The sequence below is a fragment of the Homo sapiens genome, chromosome X, assembly GCF_000001405.40.
Source record: "Homo sapiens chromosome X, GRCh38.p14 Primary Assembly".
NCBI classification, from domain to species: Eukaryota; Metazoa; Chordata; class Mammalia; order Primates; family Hominidae; genus Homo; species Homo sapiens.
Window position 1 is genome coordinate 68,827,669 of NC_000023.11, and position 17,864 is coordinate 68,845,532.

The 17,864-nt window shown below is 56.1% G+C and overlaps 1 protein-coding gene across 1 annotated transcript; it reads left to right on the top strand.

Moving 5' to 3' along the window:
- On the top strand, positions 1,353-14,492 carry EFNB1 (ephrin B1). Its single transcript, NM_004429.5, has 5 exons — positions 1,353-2,236; positions 10,949-11,226; positions 11,996-12,088; positions 12,292-12,420; positions 12,574-14,492. Exons 1-5 carry the CDS (start codon positions 2,109-2,111, stop codon positions 12,984-12,986), a joined length of 1,041 nt encoding a protein of 346 aa, NP_004420.1. The 5' UTR covers positions 1,353-2,108; the 3' UTR covers positions 12,987-14,492.

The window sequence follows — 17,864 nt, forward strand, 5'->3', positions numbered from 1 at the left end:
CTGAGAAACGCAGTAGCTCAGTCACCTATTAAGCGAGATGATGGACATGAAACTGTGTGAATGGTGGAGCACTTTGGGAATGTTGCTCATCTAATTATCTCCATAAAGAAAAAGTGGGGAGACCTTGTATTCTTGGCAGTCCCTAAGCCTACCCCAAACTCAGATATCCTTCTAGTTCTTTCCCTTCCTCCCCATACAGGGTGACGGTTTTTGCCAAGGCTACGCCTGTCCCAGGTCTTGTGCTATGGCAAGCTCCGGGTTTATCCCAGGCGCCCGCAGTGCTATGGAAGTCCAGCAGGGGGAGACATTAGCACGTGGGTACGTCCTCTGGGGTCCGACCAGCGAGAGTGGGTCGGACCTGGAAGGTCTGAGCTATGGGATCGAGCCAAGTTATAAGCAAAGAGGCAAGGCGGGGCGGGAAGAATGGGCCAGGGCTGGGAGACAAAGACCCAGATGGCGAGGCCGGGACAGGCTGGAGTCCGGCTTCTCCGGTCCAGGATGCCCGCTTTTGCTTTTTCAAAAGTCTCATGCCCTGTGCTTTTTCCTCTTTGCCCTCGAGGTGTCTTTCTTTATCGACGTGCCCTCTCATCCCCGCTTGCCTATCCCGGGACCTTGCCCGCGCCTTCGGACAGGACAAGACTAAATCTTGGCTCCAGAGGTCCCACAAGGCTCCCCCAGAAAGCTGAGATTCCGAAGGCCTGGTCCCCAGGGGCGATGAACACGCCTTCTCTCCCCACCACACCCCACCCTGCTCCCCGCCCCACCTCTAACCCCAATCAAGTACTGGACCCTCACCAGTTTCCCCCTCCCACTGTTCTCACTTTTATGTTCCTGACTCCGGGTCCAAGTGCAAGCAGACAGTGCATTTTGAGGGCGAGAGGAGGAAAGCCCACTAAAGCCTTACGTGGGACTGGACGAGGAGCAGACAGGCTGTCCTTGACACGGAGGTGGGCACAGAGCAGGACTTCAGGGGTCCTGTGTGTAAAAAGAAAATGGAAATACTTTCCTGGGGTACTTGGGACAGGGTCAGTGGGCTGGGGTGTTGACCAGACGCGTGGAGAGGAGAGCAGGCCGGCAGCTCTTGAGAGTGCCAACTTCCCACGGGTTGAGCTCTCTGGGAACAGGACTGAGAGGGACCCAACCCTAACCGCACGAGCCGCACACTCAGATTGGTGCCATCGGGCGCGCGGCGTCCTTAAGAGCTCCCTGAAACCCCGCCCCCTTCCTGCTCTGGGGGCGTGGTATGGGGCAAGGACCCCGCCACTGAGCTTGCTATTGGCTAAGAGAGCAGGGTTGGCCTTGCGTTCGCCTGAGCAAGGGAGTAGACAGCACAGCGGCAGCGGAGGGAGTCTATGCGAGCTGGACAGCAGTGGGAGGTTTGTGAGGCTCGCACTGGCCGCAGACCCTCGGGCTCGATCGCCCGGGAGCCAGGACTCGGCGACGCGAGGCTGCCGGGCTACCCGGCCGAGGCTTCGGGGGCGCAAACTAATGGGACTGGCTCGCTCGGCAGCATCTCCCCGCTCTTCTAAGTACACTGAGCAGGGCCCGCGCTGAAGTAGAAGCTGTCCGGGGGCGCGTAGCCCGGAGTCCCAGTGTGGCCCGGAGGAACGGAGCCCGTGCCAGGGCGGCCCAGTCGGGAGCCCGGGGACCGAGCTTGTGCTGTGGGGAAACCCCCACTTCTTCCAAGGGACAGCGATCCCGGGACGGTCGAGGCGTCGGGGCGGTCACCGAGACCTCTGCGGGAAGACCCCGTCGGGGAGAGGGCGCGCAGCCCCGAAGCGTCTCGGGAAGTCGAGCGGAATCGGGCGGGATCACCCGGGGGCGCAGAGCCCCCGTCGCGCCTCGTGCGGCAGCGGAGAGCCCAGGAGAACGAGCCCTCGGGGGCCGAAGCCCATGCCCGGGTTGGGGGCGGCTGCCCAGTGAGTCCTCCTGGCCGGCCGGGCGGAGAAGAGCGACACCGAAGCCGGCGGGAGGGGAGCACTTCAAGGCCGGCGGCTGCGGAGGATGGGCGCCTGAGCGGCTCCGAGCGCAGCGCGGCAGAGGAAGGCGAGGCGAGCTTTGGTGAGGAGGCGCCAAGGGATCCCGAAGTGCAGTCTGCCCCCGGGAAGATGGCTCGGCCTGGGCAGCGTTGGCTCGGCAAGTGGCTTGTGGCGATGGTCGTGTGGGCGCTGTGCCGGCTCGCCACACCGCTGGCCAAGAACCTGGAGCCCGTATCCTGGAGCTCCCTCAACCCCAAGTGAGTAACTTATCTCCTCTGGACGCTGGGGTGGGAGGCACTCCTTCAGGGTGAGGCCGCACGCCCCGGAGTGCATGTGGGGAGGTCTTCGGAGGAGGAGCGGCGCCTCATTTTGTCTCCGGCTTTTTCGAGTGTTTTCCTGCGGGCGGGCGGATGGAGCAGGGTGCGGCGGGGTGGGGTAGGGGCACTTGGCTGGGTTGTGACCCCCCGGGCTTCCCACCCCCTGCCTCTGCACGTCTTGGATGAAGTCGAGGTGGTCGCACAGGCGGAGCTGGGGAGTCCGGGCGCCCGAGAGCGCACCGGAGAACTGAGTGGAGGCGAGAACGCAGCTCCCTCCGGGGCCCCTGGGAACGTGGTGATTTTCGCCGAGAGCCGCTCCAGGAGCGAGCTTGACTCGGGCGAGGGACGAGGCCAGAACACGGGTTCCTCGTTTGCGTAGCTGTGGAGGGAACACAGAGCGGGACCCGGCGCTTGGGGTGGGTGGCAGCGCCAACATCCCCACTCGGGCTTCTCCCATTTTCATTTCTCTTTCTTCCCTGTTTTCCTCCCTGGCTTTTTGCTTTGCTGTCTCTTTTTGCCCCCCGCCCCTCCTTTCTCCCTGCCGGAGCGGTAGAAAGGCGGGCGCTGCTCCCAGGCTCACAAAGGCAGCGGGTGGAGAGGGGCGGAGTGGGAGAGTGGTCGTTGGGTAGTGGGGGTTCGAACCAGTGCCCGTCAGGGGTCCAATGGAGCCGGTAACAGAGCTTCAAGGGCCCGCCAGGGCGGAGAGTGGCGGCCGAGCTGTTGAGGGAGGTGGGTGGAGAAGGAGCGATTCCTGCCCAGGCAGGTCCCCTTGGCCCCCGAGTCTGTCCCCCAGATTGGGAAGCTGTGCTTAGTTTTCCCCAAGGGGTTGGGGCGGGGAGTGGGCAGCTATATAAAGGACATCCTTTCTTTTCTTTCTTCTCCTTCCTCTGCACAACTACCCCACCACCACCACACACACAACCCCTCCAAACAACACGCACACCTTTCAGGGCGGTGGCTCAGTGGTTTCTGGGCTTTTAGTGGGAAGTCGCTGGGGCTGTTGTAGTGACCTCTGGACCTTCTCTTTTGGCATCCAGGACTCAGGTTGGAACCAAGGGTCAAAATTGCCCTTCCTCTCAATTTTCTGGAGGTCCCAGCAATGTGCGAACAACCCCACTTAGCAGGAAACTGGGGAGCTTTGACCTGCTCCATCCGTGATCACTGATTCCTGTATCTCAAATTTCTTCCTGTCCACTCTTGCTGCCCCACGCCGCCTCCCCCCCAGCCCCGCCCTGCCCCGGGTAACTTCCCAGGCTCCTGCCTACCTTGGCCTCTTGGGTCCCAGGGACGTTTGATCTCTCAGCCCTGGAGTAGGAGAAGGCAGCTTTAGTTTTCTTCTCCTCGATTAAGGTAGAGTCCTATTACTGGTTGGTGGGATGGCTAAACCAGGGTTGGGGTGGAGGGCTCTCCCTGGGTACAAGGAAAGGGATTGGCAAGAATTTCTTTCCTACCCAGAAGCCAAACGGGGTACAACACTCTCCTAACAGCAGGGGCTCAAAATGCTCTGGGAGCTCTGGGCTGCTTGAGCCCAGGGGGGAACGTTGTGAAGTGCTCAGTGGTTGTGAAGTGCTCAGTGGTTGTGAAGTGCTCAGTTACCCTGGTAAGGGTGGAGGCTGGAAATGTTCTGTCTTGAGCCAGGAGAGTTGAAATCCGCCTGGGGTAGCCCATCATAGGGGCTCATGGGAGTGACCTAATTGCTCTCTCGGGTCTCTAACCAGAGATAGCATGCAGCTCCACAGCTGGAAAGGAGCCCTCCTGCAGAGTTGGGGGTGCTGGAAGAAACACGATCTGTCTGTGCTTCCCCCTTTTTGTGCTCAGAGACTTTAGTGCTCTGGACTGGCTTACAGGTTTTGGGGGGTGGTATCCTCTCTGACCCCCCTCCTCATCTACCTCAAGCTGAGGGCAGGCATTGTGGGGTGAGGATGGGGGGTGGCTGAAGACTCTCTAGAAACTGTCCGAATTCCATTCTGTAATTGGGTAGATCCTGGGAAGGATCAGAGACTGATCCTGGTGCACCCTCCTTCCATCCAGGCTCAGGGGTCTGGAATGCAGCCACTGTCTACATGTGTTGGCTCGGGGTGGTGGGGGCAAATGGACAGGAAGGAGGCACTGCCCTCAGCTCTCCTTGAGCTTTGGGGGCTGCTTCTGCCACCGCGCCCAACCCTCAGGCTGCCACAGCCTTTCAAATAAACAGTCCCTCTCTGTCTCCCTCCCTCTCTGCCTCCTGCCCGAGTTCTCCTCTCAGGCCCGTGTCAGTTCGCCCTCTCATACCCTCCGCGAGCAGCGCTCACTTCCCCTCTCCAGCTAGGCTCGCCTGCTCTGCCTTGCTCTCACACTCCCTCTCACTCTTAGTCACTCTCTGCCTCTTTTTCTCAAGTCCTTTTGTTTCTCGCACATGCCCGTGCTCTCCCTCTCAGGCTCATTTTCTCTCTTCCTTCCCCTCTTCCTCTCCTGGCTTTTGGTCTCTCTCCTCAGCCCTGTCAGAAGCTGGCAACCCCCCTCCCAAAAAAGAAAATCTCCCAGTGCCTATAAACCCTGCTTAATTGCTTCCTTCTTGGGAAAAAAAAAATCAAAATAAAAGAAGTGGTGGGGCTGGGGGTCCGCTTCCAGGTTCCAAGGTGCGTGCGGCCCGGCCCCAGCCCTGACTGAGAGGGGAAGCGGGAATGGCTGGCCCAAGACTCCCAAGCCTCTTTCCCAAATTGGTGCTGGGGCCTTCTGGGATGCTAGTCCCTGAGTGGCAGGAGCTTCTGCCTCCTTGGCCCCTCCTGTCAGATTTGCCCCATGAGCGCAAGGTGGGGGGATGGGTTTGGTCCTGCTAGAGTTTTTTTTAGGAACCTCTGTGTGTGCGTGTGTGTGTGTGTGTGTGTGTGTGTGTGTCTGAGTTGGGGGGCTGTTATCTAAATGGTCCTAGGCGACCCCTCCCGCAGCCTCTTCCCCTGGGAACTTGGGGCAGCCGGCAGGCCTCACACTTGAGTCCTCAGCCAAGTCCAGCTGCTGCAGTTCAGTCTCTCAGTCCCGTCCTGACCCCTTCCTGCCCCCCACTCAGGTTCCCCCACCTCCAGGGAGTCAGAATGTGCCTGAGATCACATTACAAACATTCCCTACAAGGGGGTGGGGGTGGGGGGGTTCAGCTTGGCATCCAGGACCCTTGACTCCAGCATGGGTGGGGGCAGCTGCAGACCCCAACCCATGCTTGCCTGCTCCAAGCCAAAGTGTTGGCCCCAGCCCCACACAGCTGTTCTAGCTCACAGTCCTGGGGAGGCCAGCTCAGGGGGCCCTTTTCCGGGGTGGTTAGGGACCTGACCTCTTCTACTTTGTGGCTGATTGGCCACAGGTGGGAGCCTGAGAGTGATGGGAATCCAGCAGCTCCTAAAGTCCCCTGTTCCCCTGCCTCCCCTCTCCCACATAGGGCAGCCAGGCAAGGGCAAGAAGGACCTGTGAGGCTGGGGTGGGGACTGAATCAAGGGTTCCCTTTCTTCCCTTGGGCTCTCTGTTGTCTCATCCGCTCAGGTGAATGGGGATGCGTGGGCCCTGGATACTATGGTGCATCACTGTTTTCTGGGGTTAGGGACTAAAGGAGATAGAGTGGGCCAGCCAGGAGGCTGCTAGTTGCCATGGGAACACCAGGTTTGGGGGAGAGTCCACTCTGTGACTATTAGAGGAGCTGAGATACGGGGGTGCTCACCAGCCACATTCTGGGTTCCTTACCCCGCAGACCATAGCAGCCCCTCTTGGGCGTGTTTCACGATCATTGTTTTGGGTCAGGGTGCTAGCAGCCAGGAATGTAAGCTCCTTCAGCTTTTTACTTCTAAATAATGCTGTGTTTGGCATGCTAACTAATAGGCAGGCGGCACCTTGCTACTTACAATGCATTCTCATATATGATCTCATCGAATGCTCCCAACAACCCTGGGAAGTAGGTATTGGTCCCATTTTCCAGATAAGAAGGCATATGCCCGGACAAGGGAAGTGACTTGTCTAAGGCCAGTCAATGACTTGCCTATGGGGGCAGAGCTGTGTTGTGTGCCATTCATTCCTGCTGCCTTGAAATGTAGGAGAGACAGGAATTCAAGGTGGGGTTTGGGAAGAGGCCCTGGCTCCCTGCCCCTGAGTTCCCCTCTTACCTCGCAGGTGTGCAAGCATCTGTCCCTGTGACTCAGGCCCTGTCTGTGTGGGGTGAGCAGTGCTCCAACTTCCTCATTTGACTTTTCTAGGCCTACCTTCCAGGGCTGACTGCTTGGGTGACCTGAACTAAAGGCAGCCAACTCACTGCCTGGCACACTCCCTGCGGAGCTCTGAGTGGCACCTTTGGTTCCTCTCTGAGCTAAGAATCTCTCTTCTCAGGGACCCCACAGAAAGCAGACATCGACATCGAGGAGGGGGGGTATTAAATTCATAATGGACACGAGCCTTAGCCAGGTGGGGCAGAGGGAAGGGCATAGTTCAGTGTAGATGGGGAGGGTGACTTCCTCCAGGACTCTCCTGGCTTCCCTGCCTCTGACAGAGCTGTGTGTGCCAGGACCCAGCTGCTGTTCCTGCCCACCCACGCCTGGGCGGGCACTGCTGGGACATGCCAGGCCTGCTCCTGCCAGCCTCGGGGGCTGGGTGGAGCTGGGGGAGTTAAAGAGGAGCCTTTAATTTGGGGGCTCCCCACCCTAGCTGGGATGAGAACAGACTTGAGCTCTGGCTTGGGGTCTGTCCTCCATTGGTCTTGCCACCCTGGGAGGTGCAGGTGCAGTGGTCGTGGGGTCACTGAATCGAGGTTGAGGCTAGAGGCTTCTACCAGACTTGGGCTTGCATGGCCTAGAACCAGGCTCCCCCTTTGGTCATTCTCTGACCACAAGTTGCTAGAGCCTGAGAGCAGGGTGACAGGGAAAGAAGTATAGACCTGGTGGGATGTGGGCAGCTTTCTGGGCAAGACCCTCCTAGCTGCAAGCTCTCCCTGCCCCCTGTAAATTGTATTCACATGGGTGGAGAAGGGCTTATCCGGAGAAAACAAGGAGGGGGCTGTTGGTTAGTTGGTTTCTGGCCAGTCCAGGGCCTTGGAGGCTACTGTCCCCAACCCCTTCAGGCTTTTCATATCCCAGGATTCTTTGTGGCAGTGATGGCATCGTGGTGCTTCTAAGCTAGGTAGAAAGGCTGAAGGTAGAACTTGGGTTAGGGTAGAGGGGGAAGAGCTGGAATAGCTTAGGCCGCCTCCCCCAAGTCCTTTTACTCCCTGGGGTGGCGCCCTGGGGTCCCAGGGCTATCTGAGGCTGGAGAGGGAAGGCCTCAGGGGTTACCATGGTGACCTGCTTCAGGCTTCCTGCTGAGCCATGTCAATCCCTTTATTTTTCAGAAAAGGGCTTTGTCTGGGGGTGGCCCCAGACAGAAAAGCTTGGCTTGGTCCTAGGGTGGGGGGAAGTAAGGTGGAGGATAAAGAGTTTCACTTCGGGATATCTCTTCCTCCTCTTCCCTTACTCCTACTCCTAATCTGGTAAGAGGGGAGAACTGTAGGGTCCCCCTTTAAAGTATGACTAGTGTTCTACCTAGCTTTGGCCTTCACTCTCACTGGCTATACACCCATCCCTTATGGCCCGTTACCACTCTCTTGAGCTTCTGACAGGTCAAGACGAGGTTTGCCCAGTGGTCGGGAAGATGCTAAGGTTACCAGTATGGGGGATCAGGGTCAGGGAAGGCGGGTCTCATCAGGCTCCGCTCCCTTCTGCACTTCAGGGGAAGGTGAGTTTCCCTCTGCCAGCTGCCATGCAAATGAACTAATGAATATTTATGAAGTCTGTTCACTGAGGTTGAAGAGACTCTGAGGGGTTTTGGGGGCAATAGTTCTCTCTTCTCCCCCCTCCTCCATCATGTAGACATCTGTTTCCTCAATGCCTCTGGCTTCAAGGTAGAACCCCAATTAGCTAGAAGCCCTGTTCCAATTCCAGGGCTCTGGAACCTGGGTGGCAATGGGAGACTGCACTTGGGGTAGACAGGACTCCCTGGTGAGTAAGCCAGAACCGAGTGGTTAGAAAGCTGAGCTGGCCTGTCTCCCTTTCCGTGCCCTCTATGTAGCTGCATATATATGTGTTGTTAAGATGCAACAGTACAAGGATTCAGGTAATGTTTTAGGGCCTCTTAGACCCATCGGGTTATTGTCCTGGGTAGGTTTAGACCCCTCTTTTCAATGGGAACATTCATCTGATCATTCATTCCCTCACATGAAGGGCCTGGACTCTAAGGTTCCTGCTGGCTCTAAGATGTGAGCAGTTGTCTAATCCTGCCATCTGGATGGAACCGTTGTGAGCACTGGAAAGGGAAAAAATGCCTGGAGAATTCTAGAGGCTTTGGGGAAACTTGTTGGCTTTGTATGGTGCATGGGACAGGGGTATTCCATCTGAAATGTTTATCCAGGCTTCCATCCCATGCCTACTTCCTTTCTGGGCCCTCTATAGTTAGGTACCAGTGGGGAGGCCATCTCATTCTGGCTTTTACCCTCCTGCACATCAAGATGGCAGCTCCCAATTTGGTGGAGCCTCACTCGACATGGAGGAAAGGCTGCTTTTCTTCGTCCACTTCATCCATGTGGTCAGTTTCCCTCTTCGCCTACTTGGGTATCATTTCCCTCCCTCAGATGAGGACACAGGTTTGGCATTGCAAAGGCATTTGCCCAGAGTTCCCAGTAGGCCGGTATTGCTTGTAGTACCTTTGGTGTAATGGGCCCTCAGGAAATGGAACCACTCTTTTCTCAGATGATTGTGGTAGCCTGTGAACTGGTGCATGACACTGTCAGCTTCATTCTCTTTAAGCACTGCCTGAAGCCTTCCATTGTCCTTCCTGCTCTGAGAGCCTGTCTCCAATGGGATGAAACCCACCCTGCTTGCTGTGACCCTTGAAGCCTTTCAGTCTGGCCCCAGGTGAACTTTTCACCTCTTCTTCTGTTTCTCTCTTCTCACTCCCAGCCAAGCTGGACCAATCACTGGCCTGGGCTTTGTGTTGTAGCCACTGCTGTCTACTGTCTCAGTGTGTTGACTTCTTATTCCTCACCTAAGACCCACTTTCATCCTGCCTTTCCTGTGGATACATCTCTGACCATCCTGGTCAGATGAGCTATCTCTTTCTTCTCCCTGCCTCCAGCCCTTGCTGCTTGAATCATCATCCTCACACATACCTACAGATAGCCTGGTGTTGTCTATCACTCGAGTATGGGTTATTTACTTTTCTGACCCAAACTGGACAGTAAAGTCCTTGACGATGGAGCCATATCTTCTCTTCCTGTTTCCCCTCCAAAATATGAGAGTGAGCTCATAGGTACTTAGTGTTAGTATCTGACCTCCTGCCTCTTGGGAGACTGCTTCTAAGAGGCAGTCAAACATGTTGAACGCCTATTGTGTGCTAGGTGTTCTCCATGTGCTGCCTTGTCTCCCCACCACAATATTGGAAGGTAGGGGCTCTTGCCACCCCCACTTTACAAGAGAAGAAACTGAAGCTCAGAACAGGCAGCTCATCCAAGGTCACAGAGTTAGTAAGGGCCTAGCTTTGGAATCTGATTCTAAAGTCTGTGTTCTTTCTCCTACATGGTTCTGCCTTGCTCTCAGCACCAGCCCATCCAGTCTCAGAAATGGCCAATGGAGCACCATTTTCTTTCTGTGTGCTTAGGCAAGGACAGAGTCCTATGGATAGGTGGTCCTGGGCTGCTGACCCTCCCTGCTGTCCCCCAGTGCCTGGCCTTCTGGATTAGAATATGAACCTGGCTCAAAAGGCATTTGTCCATCTCCTCTCAGGAGCTGGAGTAGGAGCAACATAGAGGTGACAGGTTAGGATACAGATGAGGCCCTATCTTCTATGATCTGTTGTCTCTGGTTGAGCCCCTTCTCTTCTCCTCTGTTCTTTTTAAGAATGAGATGAATCAAGTTTAGGAATTCAGGCTCTTGCATTTTGAGGGTGGGATGAATTGCCAGTAGGACAATAGGCAGTGGGAGTGAGCAGAGCTGCACCTGGCCAGAGACTGTGGCCATCATCCCTTTGCTCCAGGCGATGCCTGTTCCTATCTTTCCATCATGACCAAGATTAGTAAGGATGGGGGAGAAGACATGGGTCCCAGACAGATTGAGCTCCCCCAGCCTTTGGCTGGGAGCTGCGGGGAGTGGTGACTAAGACATGTGTGGGCTTGCTGTGTGTGTGTGTATGTGTGTGTGTGTGTGTGTGTGTGTGTGTGTGTGTGTGTGTGCGCGCGCGCGCGCGCACGTGTGTATGGGTATAGGAGAGGTAGTAGCAGCGGTCATGAAGGAATCTTTGTTGGGGGTGGGGGTATATAAGACTGCCACCTCCAGGTAGCATGGGCCTGACACCTTGGTACCCAGCCCATTGGCCACGTCAGCCCCCTGCGGAAATGCCACATTAGGACAAAGGGCTCCCCCAGCCAGGCAGTGCTCCACCCTGCCGAGCAGTCAGAGCCTGGCAGCCTTGCCCATGGGCCACCCCTTCCACACTCTCCTGGTAGTGTGGTTCTCTCTCCCCACCCCCAGCCTGAGGATGGAGGAAGGGCAGAAGGCTTGCTCTTGCCATCTCCACCCAGTAGGCCCAGCCCGGCTCTTGTCCGCTTCCCTGGTTCTGGAATGGCCTGGGGCCACCCCCAACCCTGAGGCTGACCATCTTCTTCCTTCTGGGCAGGTTCCTGAGTGGGAAGGGCTTGGTGATCTATCCGAAAATTGGAGACAAGCTGGACATCATCTGCCCCCGAGCAGAAGCAGGGCGGCCCTATGAGTACTACAAGCTGTACCTGGTGCGGCCTGAGCAGGCAGCTGCCTGTAGCACAGTTCTCGACCCCAACGTGTTGGTCACCTGCAATAGGCCAGAGCAGGAAATACGCTTTACCATCAAGTTCCAGGAGTTCAGCCCCAACTACATGGGCCTGGAGTTCAAGAAGCACCATGATTACTACATTACCTGTGAGTCCCGCCCATCCCATCCTCTGGCTCTCTCCCTGGGCTTAACTCTTTCCTCTCCTGTAGTAGTGGGAGCTTCTAAGTGGTGCAATGCTATTGCATGTAGTTAAGACCCTGCTGGATCTGATCCCCTTTGAAGACTGGCATGTTCTCCTCTTAGCCTGGCCTTGGAATTCTCGCCCCAACATTTACCAAGCTCACCTTGGCTCCAGGGGTTGGGCAGGAGAGGTCTCCAATTCGTGTTGCTTCTCTCTTATTTTCTTTGCCCACCTAAGTTCTAATATTGGGAATGGTAACATATGCCAGGCCCTTTGGGATCAGCCAGCTATTCAGCCTTTTTCTTCAGGGGAAACCAAGGCCCCAAAAGGTGAAGGGACTTCTTGCCTTAGATCACACAGTGAGTTAGAGATAGGGTCAGGACTCCAACCCAGTTCTCCTGATTCCTACTCCAGAATTCCTTTCAGTCTATGTAGAAGCCCCCATTATGATCCCAGTGAGGAGGCAGACCTTACCGAGGGGCCATGGCCTGCTCGTGACAGAGGAGCAGTGCCCCTGGGGGTGGGGCTTGTTCTTGGCCTGGGCTGGACTAGGCCATTTTGTTCCTAGTGGGAGGGAAGAAAATGAAAAGGTTCACTGGTAGATGGGAGCTGCTTGCTTCTCCCGACTGCAGTTTCTCTCCCTGTTGGCTGAAGCAGAATGGGAGTTTCTGGGTAATGCTAGTAGACCTTTCTCTCCTCCTGACTTCTCTGACTTCTCTGGCCTCTTCCTGCAGCAACATCCAATGGAAGCCTGGAGGGGCTGGAAAACCGGGAGGGCGGTGTGTGCCGCACACGCACCATGAAGATCATCATGAAGGTTGGGCAAGGTGAGTGCCTAGTCTGAGGGTCCCCTCACCCCACCCTGTTTGACCTTTGGAACAGATGTTCCTGGCTGGGTGCATGTGTATTAGGAGTGGGGGAGCAGGCGTAGGGTTACAGTATCCAGGCCATTCTTGGCCCACCCTTGATGACTGAGGGCACCTATGCTGGCCGGGTCCCTGCCTCTCACCTGTTCTGTCTCCATTCTTAGATCCCAATGCTGTGACGCCTGAGCAGCTGACTACCAGCAGGCCCAGCAAGGAGGCAGACAACACTGTCAAGATGGCCACACAGGCCCCTGGTAGTCGGGGCTCCCTGGGTGACTCTGATGGCAAGCATGGTAAGTGTATGTGTTTCCCAGAGGTCAGGAGCCATTGCTCTGTCACCTTGTTAGGCCCTGTCCCTGAAGAAATGCAAGCTGGGCCTGGCCTGAAATCTGCTGTGTGTCCCTGGGACCCCTGGCTGACTGTTCCTTCCCCTTTCCCTTCCTCAGAGACTGTGAACCAGGAAGAGAAGAGTGGCCCAGGTGCAAGTGGGGGCAGCAGCGGGGACCCTGATGGCTTCTTCAACTCCAAGGTGGCATTGTTCGCGGCTGTCGGTGCCGGTTGCGTCATCTTCCTGCTCATCATCATCTTCCTGACGGTCCTACTACTGAAGCTACGCAAGCGGCACCGCAAGCACACACAGCAGCGGGCGGCTGCCCTCTCGCTCAGTACCCTGGCCAGTCCCAAGGGGGGCAGTGGCACAGCGGGCACCGAGCCCAGCGACATCATCATTCCCTTACGGACTACAGAGAACAACTACTGCCCCCACTATGAGAAGGTGAGTGGGGACTACGGGCACCCTGTCTACATCGTCCAAGAGATGCCGCCCCAGAGCCCGGCGAACATCTACTACAAGGTCTGAGTGCCCGGCACGGCCTCAGGCCCCCGAGGGACAGTCGGCCTGGACCGGACCTCTCCTTTCGCCCCCACACCCCCTCCCCTTGCCAGCTGTGCCCACCTTTGTATTTAGTTTTGTAGTTTCTTGGCTTTTATAATCCCCCTTTTTCCCTGCCCCCTGGGCTTCGGAGGGGGGTGCTTGTGCCCCTAACCCCCATGCTCTTGTGCCTTCCCCCTCTGGCCAGGCCTCTGGGCTCCGTGGGGGCGCCCCTTCTTGGAAGGCAGGGCTGGACACTGATGGACAGCAGGCAGGGAGACAGTCCCCTGGCCCTGCCCCTCCCTCGCCCCCCTTGCCACCTTCCCAGGACTGCTTGTCCGCTATCATCACTGTTTTTAATGCTTTTGTGTTCATTTTTTAGCTGTCAACTCATTTTCATCTGTTTTTTGAAGAAAAATGGAAAAATGTAAAAGGCAGCCCCTCCCCAGGCTTTGTGAGCCTGGCCCAAGCCAGTACAAGAGGGCCTGGGGCACGATGTGGTCAGCCAGGAAGCATAGGATGCCATTTCTTTTATAGATTCCTTGGTATTTCTGGTGGGGTAAGGGGCAGGCCAGGGCTGTTCACGCCCATGAGGGAAGAGGAAAGTGCCACTGGGCAAGGTGTCCCACCCTCCCCTCCTGACCCTCCTACGAGGCTTATCCTGGCAATGGGGTAGTCACTGCCACCCTTCCACACACACACACACACACACACACACAAAAAAAAATCCCTTCCTTGTGGGATTCTTGGGCATCTCCTGCCTCCCTCACTCTCACGGTAATTAATGTCTTAATTGGCTGTTGCCTGGGGAACAGGAGAGCTGCTGCAGGCAGATGACCTCATGGGGGGTGGAGGGAGGTGAGGTGCCCAGGTGGCTATTTGCCCTGCAGAGCTGGGAGTTTCACCCCCACCCCCCACCCTGTTCTCTCCTTACCTTTGGCATCCTTTGGCCTGGTGGGGAAACAGAGGCCCAGGGTGGAGACCTAAGCGGGTATAAGACCAGGTGGCCTGCTCCTTTTCTGGGCCCTAGCACAGGTGGGTAACCCCCACCCAACCCAGCTCCTGCTGCTGTCCCAGTCTTGGGCTGGGGCCTGGAAAGAGGAAGAGGCTGCCTGGGGCTGGGCCAGCCCGCTGTGCACTTTGACCCCAGTTCCTTGCCAGCACGGCTGCTAACAGACTGCCACTTGAGTGCGCCTTGCAGGCACTCCCAGAGCAGCCATGGAAGGAGCTGGCCCTCACACCATCCACCTCCACACTGCCTCCTGGCCAGCTGCCCACCCCAGTGCCAGGTGGGAGAGGGAGCAGAACAGCCAGCCCCTTCCAGGTGGCAGTCGGAAGGGTTTTTGTTTTTGTTTCTGTTGCCATTTGTGTAAATACTAGTCTTTTTGGAAAAAAAATAATGTAAAGATGTTTTGTATAAACTCTGAATTATTTTCTTGTTGCTTTTTTCTTAGAAAAAAATGAGAACTAAAAAAAAAAAATTAACCACATGGAGAAATGGGTGTAAAATGGTGTCGTGATGTTGGGAAATGGAGAGTGAGAGTTGTGTGCGTGCGTGTGTGGTGGGGGTGTGTGTGTGTGCGCTTTCCTGTGCTCAAACCACTGGTGACTGGGGCAGGTACGGGCAGATGATGGCTATCCTAGTGGAGCAAGATGTTTTAATGCCCTATGACCCTCCTGCCACTCCCCTCACCCCAGGTTTTTCTGCTCTCTTGTTCTGCTGTCATGGAGCCTGAGACCATTTCCCCTGTTCATCCTGTCACCTCTGTGGCATAGGCCACGGGCATCTGCCCAGTCTGGCACAGGCCCAGTTAGAGAGGGTTAATGGAGGAGGGGATGTTCCCATGGGGACCTGGGTGTGTCCACAAAGTACTGCCACCACCTAGCTGGGGCTAGATCTGGGACCTGCTGGCAGGCCCAGCCCTGCCCTGCCTCAGGACGCCTGGAGGTGGATAGAAATAACTTCCCAAGATCTGAACTTCAGCTGCAGCCTACTGGGTATTGGGCCTGCTTCAGGCTGCCCAGTTCACCTCTCAGCCAGAAGAATCTTGCTTCTGAGCTGGGCCACACCACAGCCACCACCATGGCATAGTTGGGGGCTTCTGGCCAGCAGTCGATACCCTCAAGCTAGAGCAGCCTTGAGCACCCGGTCTACCTCCCACAGGCTGATGAGTAACTTGCTCAAGTCAAAGAGTGTGGTGAGGGCCCTGAAGAGGGTTTGGCCTCCATCCCACAGCGGAGAGGCAGACTGGCAGGGCCTGGAGCCTTCCTGCTCCAGCCTGGAGCCGCCTGCTGGTCTTGTGGGGGGACTCCCTGTGGAGACGGCTAAGACAGATGTCAGGGGAAGAGGACAAGTGAGATCCAGCAGCTAAAAATGGGGTAGAAGGCAGCAGAGGAAAGAGGAAGAAGAAGGAGAGAGAGAGTGATCCAGAGTAGGAAGCCCCAGAGAATTAGCCAAGGTGCCACCCGGGCTATGAGGGAAGTGGGGAGCTGGTGGAGAAGAAAGGGGGCGGAAAGCCACAGGGCCTGCAGGCGGAGGGAAGGAAGGTTGGGCTAGTGTAGGGCTGGGCCTGGCTGGGGTGCTCCTGGAGCCAGCTGGGGCAGAGGCTGTTTATTTGGTTTCTCATTAACCAAAGGAAGTGCCTGGATCAGATGGAGCCTCTGCTGCTTGACTGCCTGCCCAGAGTGGGGCCCGGCCTGGGCTGGGGGTCTCTCATCAGGGTTGGTTCAGGCCAGATTGGTGTCGCTCACTGGGGTAGAGCCTGACTCAGTTGAGTGAGCACTTCCCGCACTTCTCCAACTGAGTTTCCTCCAGTAGTCCCCCACCCAGTCCACGCCTTCAACCCTCCCAGTGGGGGATGGAGCACTGGGGGCCCCCTGGGAGCAGCTGTGGGAGTGTGAAGTAAAATCCAAGGGAGATTTTACAAAGGAAAGTGGGGCAATCTGCTGGTTAGCCCAGAAGCTTCGCAACTGGCTGTTCCCTTGCCCTAGCATGGGTGCCATGGCTGGTGCTGGTTTGAGCTTGGTGCTCACACTGTTGGTCACACAGTGTGCTTAGTAGTTCCTTGTGTCCTTCATCTGGACAGCACCTGCCAGTTTGTTCAAATGCTTTTACACACTTTGTTTCATTGAATCTCACAAACTGCCCTGTGAGGGTGGTAGGTGGGGAATTACCTGACTTATATTTGAGATGAGGAAACCGAGACCCTGTGAGGGGCTGTAACTTGCCCAAGGACACACATCAGGTGAACAGGAGCACTAGGATACAAGTGCAGGCCTTTTATTACACCACGAGCAAATAAGAGGTATTCCTTGAGAGCGAGGGGTATGACTTCCCACTTCTTGCCTTTGAGCAAGCATGCTTCCTTGGGGATCTTAAAAAACAGGAGCCCTCCCCACCTCCACCCCCCATTCCCTTTCCATCTATCTTGGTCAGGGAGGGACCAAGCTCAGCTAGCTGGAGGCAGGAGGTGGGAGCCTCCAGTGGTAGGGCCCCAGACTGCCCCACCCTTGACTCTCCTTCCTGTCCCAGCTGGGCCTAAGCTCCTGGTGAGTCAGGGATACAGGATGCTTCCCAGGTAAGGGTGGGGCTGCCTGGCTTTCTCCGCAGGCTGAGCCCAGTTCACCAATAAAGCCAAACTGAGCAGGTGCTAACCAGGCCTCAGTTTCCCTGAAAGGTAAGGCCTTGTGGAGCTGGAAGGCCAAGGCTCTTGTGACCTTATTGCACTGGTTGATTTTAAGCTCCCAGGTGGCCTCCCTGAGGAACCAGTGACATGAATGGGCTGGTATCCACTAGGCAGGGGCACGAAGCTGGGCCAAGCAACCTACGGAAAGACCCAGGCCCCACTGGGGCCATCCTAGGTTGGACCCTGCTGAGCAAGCGGCCCTCTGGCCACCTGGCATCAATCACTCTCAGAAATCCAGCCCACCTGCCTACCTGGCCTCCTGTCCTGCCTGGGCACGTCCCACTGACACCCTAGCTGAGTCAGCCCCAGCCTGCCTGGGACCCTCCTCACCCATCTGCTGCCGGCCTCCCGTACAGCTGGACATTGGATCTAGGGGGCTGGGGCCCCAGCTGGCGCTGGTTAGGTTGGCTTCCTCTTTGCGAGGCTGCTGAGGGGGAGACCAGCCCCCACCCAGGACAGGGGTCATAGAACCCAAAATGAAAGCAATTTAAAGGCATTGGGGAGAGTAATTACAGTTTCTGTTTTCAATGGTTAATTATTCAGCTGGCAAAGAGAAAGGAAAAAAGGGAAAGCTGGGAGTTGGAGGGAATAAGGATGAAGAGATATGGGAGGGTGGGAGGAGTTTGCCATGGGGCCCTTTAATCCAGGTGATAGAGCCCTAGACCAAGAGGCTGGAGACCTGAGGGCCTGTCCCTGCTTTGCCATAACTCCCTTTTTGACCAGGGGCAGGCAGATGCCTGTCTGGGTAATGAAGGAGCAGTACTAGGTTTATTCATTTATTCAGAAAATATTTACCGAGTACCTACTATATGCCAGTCAATGGTCTGGGCACTGGAGTACAGTGAAGAGTAGGATAGACAAGGTCCCTGCTCCCAGAGACCTCACATTCTAGAAAAGTCTTTCAGTGCCCAGGTAACTCTTGATTCTGTTTTGTATTGGTGACTGAGTCACAAGAATGTGAGAGGTAGAATGGAGAATACACTGATTTAAAATTTGGGTTCTAAAGTGAGTCATTCATTCATTCACATTCATTTTTTAAAACAAATATTGAATGCATGGCACATAGCAAGTACCAATAAATAGTAGCTGTTGCTTCTCCCATGAGGGACGGAGTAGACAATTTGGCCCTGGGGCTGAGCTTCTAGGGGACTGTTCCTGCTTTGAGAGTGGACCCTATGAC